This window comes from Homo sapiens, chromosome 5, assembly GCF_000001405.40.
Source record: "Homo sapiens chromosome 5, GRCh38.p14 Primary Assembly".
NCBI lineage: Eukaryota > Metazoa > Chordata > Mammalia > Primates > Hominidae > Homo > Homo sapiens.
This window is the reverse complement of record NC_000005.10, coordinates 85,662,140-85,667,158: the sequence shown is the minus strand read 5'-3', so window position 1 is coordinate 85,667,158 and position 5,019 is coordinate 85,662,140. Positions and strand designations below refer to the sequence as shown.

The 5,019-nt window shown below is 38.4% G+C and overlaps 1 annotated feature.

The window, feature by feature from the left end:
* Nucleotides 2,948-4,147: an enhancer, noted in NCBI's record as "CDK7 strongly-dependent group 2 enhancer chr5:84958830-84960029 (GRCh37/hg19 assembly coordinates)". NCBI's record gives its function as "activates an origin of replication core promoter dependent on BRD2, BRD4, P300/CBP, MED14 and CDK7 cofactors, with strong dependence on CDK7, by STARR-seq in HCT116 cells {active_cell/tissue: HCT116}" and the evidence as "EXISTENCE:reporter gene assay evidence [ECO:0000049][PMID:35650434]".

Genomic DNA, 5,019 nt, shown 5'->3' with positions numbered 1-5,019 from the left:
AAAGTTATGCACAACATCTGGACACAGTTCTCTTCAGCAGGAATTTATTGTTTCAGGCTTAATGGCTTTCATGGTGGTTTTTTTTTTTTTCTTATAACAACACTGGCATCTTCAATGGTGTAATTCTTCCATACTTTCATGATTTTCATCAGGTTCTCTCTACCAGAGTTCTTCTCCACAGCATTGACAAGTCTTTCCATAGACACCATGTGTAACCGCCTTAAAGGTCCTTATATCCCCCTAATTTAGAGATTGAATTAGAGACATCGTGTTTGTGGACAAGTAGACTATTTTGACACCTTCAATGTTGAACTCACAGGGTTCTACATGGGCAGGAGCATCATCCAATATCAAAAGAACTTTAAAAGGTAGTCCTTTATTGGCAAGGTACTTGCTGACTTCAGGGGCAAAGAATCAATGGAACCAATCCAGAAAAAGAGTTCTCATTGCCCAAATAACTAAAAGACTGGCAGCTAATGTTTATTTTTTCCCTTCAAGACTTAAGGGTTAGCAGCTTTATAGATAAAGACAGCCATGATCATAAACCCAACTGCATTTTCACAGAACAGTAGTTAGCCTACCTCTTCCTGCCTTAAATCCTTGTGTTCACTTCTTTTCCTTACTAATAAATGACCTTGGTGGCTGTTTTTCAGAATAGGGTACTTCTGTTTGTATTCAAACCTGTTCAGGCAGATATCATCCTTTCTCCTCGATTTTTTTTTAATGTCATATGGAAACTCATGTACTATCTCTTGGTCAACAGAAGCTGTGTCTCCTGTGTCCTTGACATTTCTAAGACACACTTCTTTCTAAAATTATCAAACTATCCTTGGCTGCATTAAATACTCCAGCTTTAGATCCTTCACACCCTTTTTACTTTATTTTAGCATGACTTTGCTTTTTCTCAAAGAAAAGTTATGCTTTTCTTACAGCACTCCTGCACCTACATAAAAGCTGCATTTTCAATACAACATAAAAAGACATTTCACAAAGAGTGCAAGGTTTTTGTGTTTGCTGACATAGCTGCAGCAATGGCTTAACAAATTTCCTTCTCTTTCTTTGCAATGGTCCTTACCCTGAATTCATTTATCTCGAAACAGTGGGCAGCCACAGCTGCAGATTTCAATCTACAGTGCATAACAAGAAAGCATCACTAGTGGCGCTTTGTACTGGCCCCACGATATTATGGAAAGTTTATGGTATCACATTAAACTGGATAAAAAATACGTGAGAACTACAGGAGATCACTTTCTACTGTGATACTCAATCTACTGGAAAGACAAATTGCTCACTCTGAGGTGATGAACATCATAAGAGGCTTTTAGAGCATGCTGAAAACACTTGAGCTTACTGCAATAGTAATGGGAGGTGGCTACAAATTTATTACAGTAGTACAGTATACACTACAGTTAATTGTATGCAATTGGGATTGAATACTTAATCTTTAAATTTGTTTACATTTATCTTGACTGCAAATGATGCCATGTACAGTCTGTAAGTGTTTGGGTGCATACGTTTTGATAATGTTTAACTTTCTATAATAGAATTGTGCATATTTTATGGTAGTCAATGATAAAATACACTATTATAGTGTCTACATATATTTTATGCATTCATGACATACCTAACTTTAAAATTGTTTTTGATATTTCTAGGCTATGTATTTTATGTCCAAGTTTTTCCAAATTGTCCCAAATCTCCAAAAATTTTTCCGGTATGTTTAGTGAAAAAACTCCAGGTAGAATTGGACCTACACAGTTCAAACCCATGTTATTCAAAGGTCAACTGTATGTTTGTTTAATGCATTATTTACATACACTAACAAGAGTGATCAAATCAAGTTGCCCCATGATAGAAACAAAGGACATAATTTATATTTAAAAATGTATACGTATATATGATAGCCATAGATACATTACATAGGCATATACATTATGAATCCATATTAAACTGTCAAGAGAGGCCACATCTGGAGAGAGGTAAAGAGACTTGGATCAGGTGGACAAAGGAGACTTGTAGCTGTATACAGTATTATTTTAACAAGGAAAATGTATTGACATAATTTTGTGTATTTAACAGTTGACTTAAAAATTGTCAAATGCCCTTGGAAAAACTCCTAAAACTTTAGTGTTTCTAATCCTAATTATTACTATAATGATACATGTAGGAGGTCTTAAAGAGTGGCTGTTAAAGCATCAATTACTTTTGTGAATTTTCTAATGCTTTGTACTTAACTACTGACTATTCATTCTGCAGCCTTCTCTGAATCAAAGCTCTGTTGACATTTTTCCTCTGCCATTAAAACATTTCTTATTCTTATCTTTTAAGTAACAGTGAGTTGATATGTTACATTCAAATTAATTTGATATTCAAGAGAAAGCCTTGCTTATCTTCATTTTTATTAATCAATCTAATTTTTTTTAAATTAAAATACCTGAATAATTTACCTTAGCAAGAAAAAAAGTTATCAAGCCAGTATACAGTCATATTACGTATAAAGGAAAGATGATCTATTAAATAATTTTTATACTATCAGTTGATATAGCTTGTAAAACTCATTTTCTCAGATCTACTTGATAAGTTAACAAACTTTCACAGGCAATAAAAGATCAGAATCTATTAATATTTTCAGTTATCTTGGCATTATTTTTATCAGTTCATAATATCCAATTACTAGACTATAAATTTACCTGGAAAATCACACCGGTATGAGCCATCTCAGGTAGTATGTTTTTATATAACATCAAGAAGACAAAGTGCCATACAATTTAAATCTTCTTCCTGTAAAATAATTACACATTGATAAACAATATTAACAATTTTTAATGCAAATGACAAAGACAGATGTATACATGCATGTTATGTAGCATACACAAATAATTTTTAAAAGAGTTTTCAGTAGACTATAAAGATGGCTAGCCTTACATGAAGGTTACTTGGGAAGAGTAACATACAAAATCTATTTATGTTTAGACTTTATGTGGTTTCTATAATTTCACACATCAGATTAAAATTCACACAACATTATAAATTAAATTTTTAACATGCTCTTTTCAAAATGACAACGAATACACAAGTTTAATTTTAAAGATTATTTCATAATATTACTAAGGCTTATGGATCATTCATAAAATGTGGCATTATATTCAGTTGTTGTGGGAACAACTAATAAGGTTTTCTGCACAACATATATGATGTGAATAAAATAAAAAATGTTTAAGCACAGACGAATAGCCCCTTCAACAAAAACACTTACCTTACAGCTACATCTAATTGGACTGATTGCTAGTGTTTATTTTCTTCCCCAAATCCTCTTCAGGTCTGCCAGACTCCTTGGCTTTCGCTCTGGGACATGCTTTTTGATGCTACTTTTGCCAAATGCCCATTCTTGTGTTTCTACATTTACAATTTTGGAAGATGCTTTCAACAAAATGCTGAAACCACCTATTTGGCCTCTGAAAGAAGACGAAAATAGCTTCAAACTTAAAAACATAATGTTTTTAAAGGTAAAGCTGACGGAGGAGCCAAGATGGCCGAATAGGAACAGCTCCGGTCTACAGCTCCCAGCGTGAGCGACACAGAAGACGGGTGATTTCTGCATTTCCATCTGAGGTACTGGGTTCATCTCACTAGGGAGTGCCAGACAGTGGGCACAGGTCAGTGGGTGCGCGCACCATGTGCGAGCCAAAGCAGGGCGAGGCACTGCCTCACTTGGGAAGCGCAAGGGGTCAGGAAGTTCCCTTTCTGAGTCAAAGAAAGGGGTGACGGACGGCACCTGGAAAATCGGGTCACTCCCACCTGAATACTGCGCTTTTCCGATGGGCTTAAAAAACAGCCCACAACGAGATTATATCCCGCACCTGGCTCGGAGGGTCCTACGCCCACGGAGTCTCCCTGATTGCTAGCACAGCAGTCTGAGATAAAACTGCAAGGCGGCAGCGAGGCTGGGGGAGGGGCGCCCGCCACTGGGGAGGGGCGCCCGCCATTGCCCAGGCTTGCTTAGGTAAACAAAGCAGCCAGGAAGCTCCAACTGGGTGGAGCCCAACACAGCTCAAGGAGGCCTGCCTGCCTCTGTAGGCTCCACCTCTGGGGGCAGGGCACAGACAAACAAAAAGACAGCAGTAACCTCTGCAGACTTAAGTGTCCCTGTCTGACAGCTTTGAAGAGAGCAGTGGTTCTCCCAGCACGCAGCTGGAGATCTGAGAACGGGCAGACTGCCTCCTCAAGTGGGTCCCTGACCCCTGACCCCCGAGCAGCCTGACTGGGAGGCACCCCCTAGCGGGGGCAGACTGACACCTCACACGGCAGGGTACTCCAACAGACCTGCAGCTGAGGGTCCTCTCTGTTAGAAGGAAAACTAACAAACAGAAAGGACATCCACACCAAAAACCCATCTGTACATCACCATCATCAAAGACCAAAAGTAGATAAAACCACAAAGATGGGGAAAAAACAGAGCAGAAAAACTGGAAACTCTAAAAAGCAGAGCGCCTCTCCTCCTCCAAAGGAACGCACTTCCTCACCAGCAACGGAACAAAGCTGGATGGAGAATGACTTTGACGAGCTGAGAGAAGAAGGCTTCAGACGATCAAATTACTCTGAGCTACAGGAGGACATTCAAACCAAAGGCAAAGAAGTTGAAAACTTTGAAAAAAATTTAGAAGAATGTATAACTAGAATAACCAATACAGAGAAGTGCTTAAAGGAGCTGATGGAGCTGAAAACCAAGGCTCGAGAACTACGTGAAGAATGCAGAAGCCTCAGGAGCCGATGCAGTCATCTAGAAGAAAGGGTATCAGCGATGGAAGATGAAATGAATGAAATGAAGCAAGAAGGGAAGTTTAGAGAAAAAAGAATAAAAAGAAATGAGCAAAGCCTCCAAGAAATATGGGACTATGTGAAAAGACCAAATCTACATCTGATTGGTGTACCTGAAAGTGATGGGGAGAATGGAACCAAGTTGGAAAACACTCTGCAGAATATTATCCAGGAGAACTTCCCCAATCTAGCAAAGCAGGC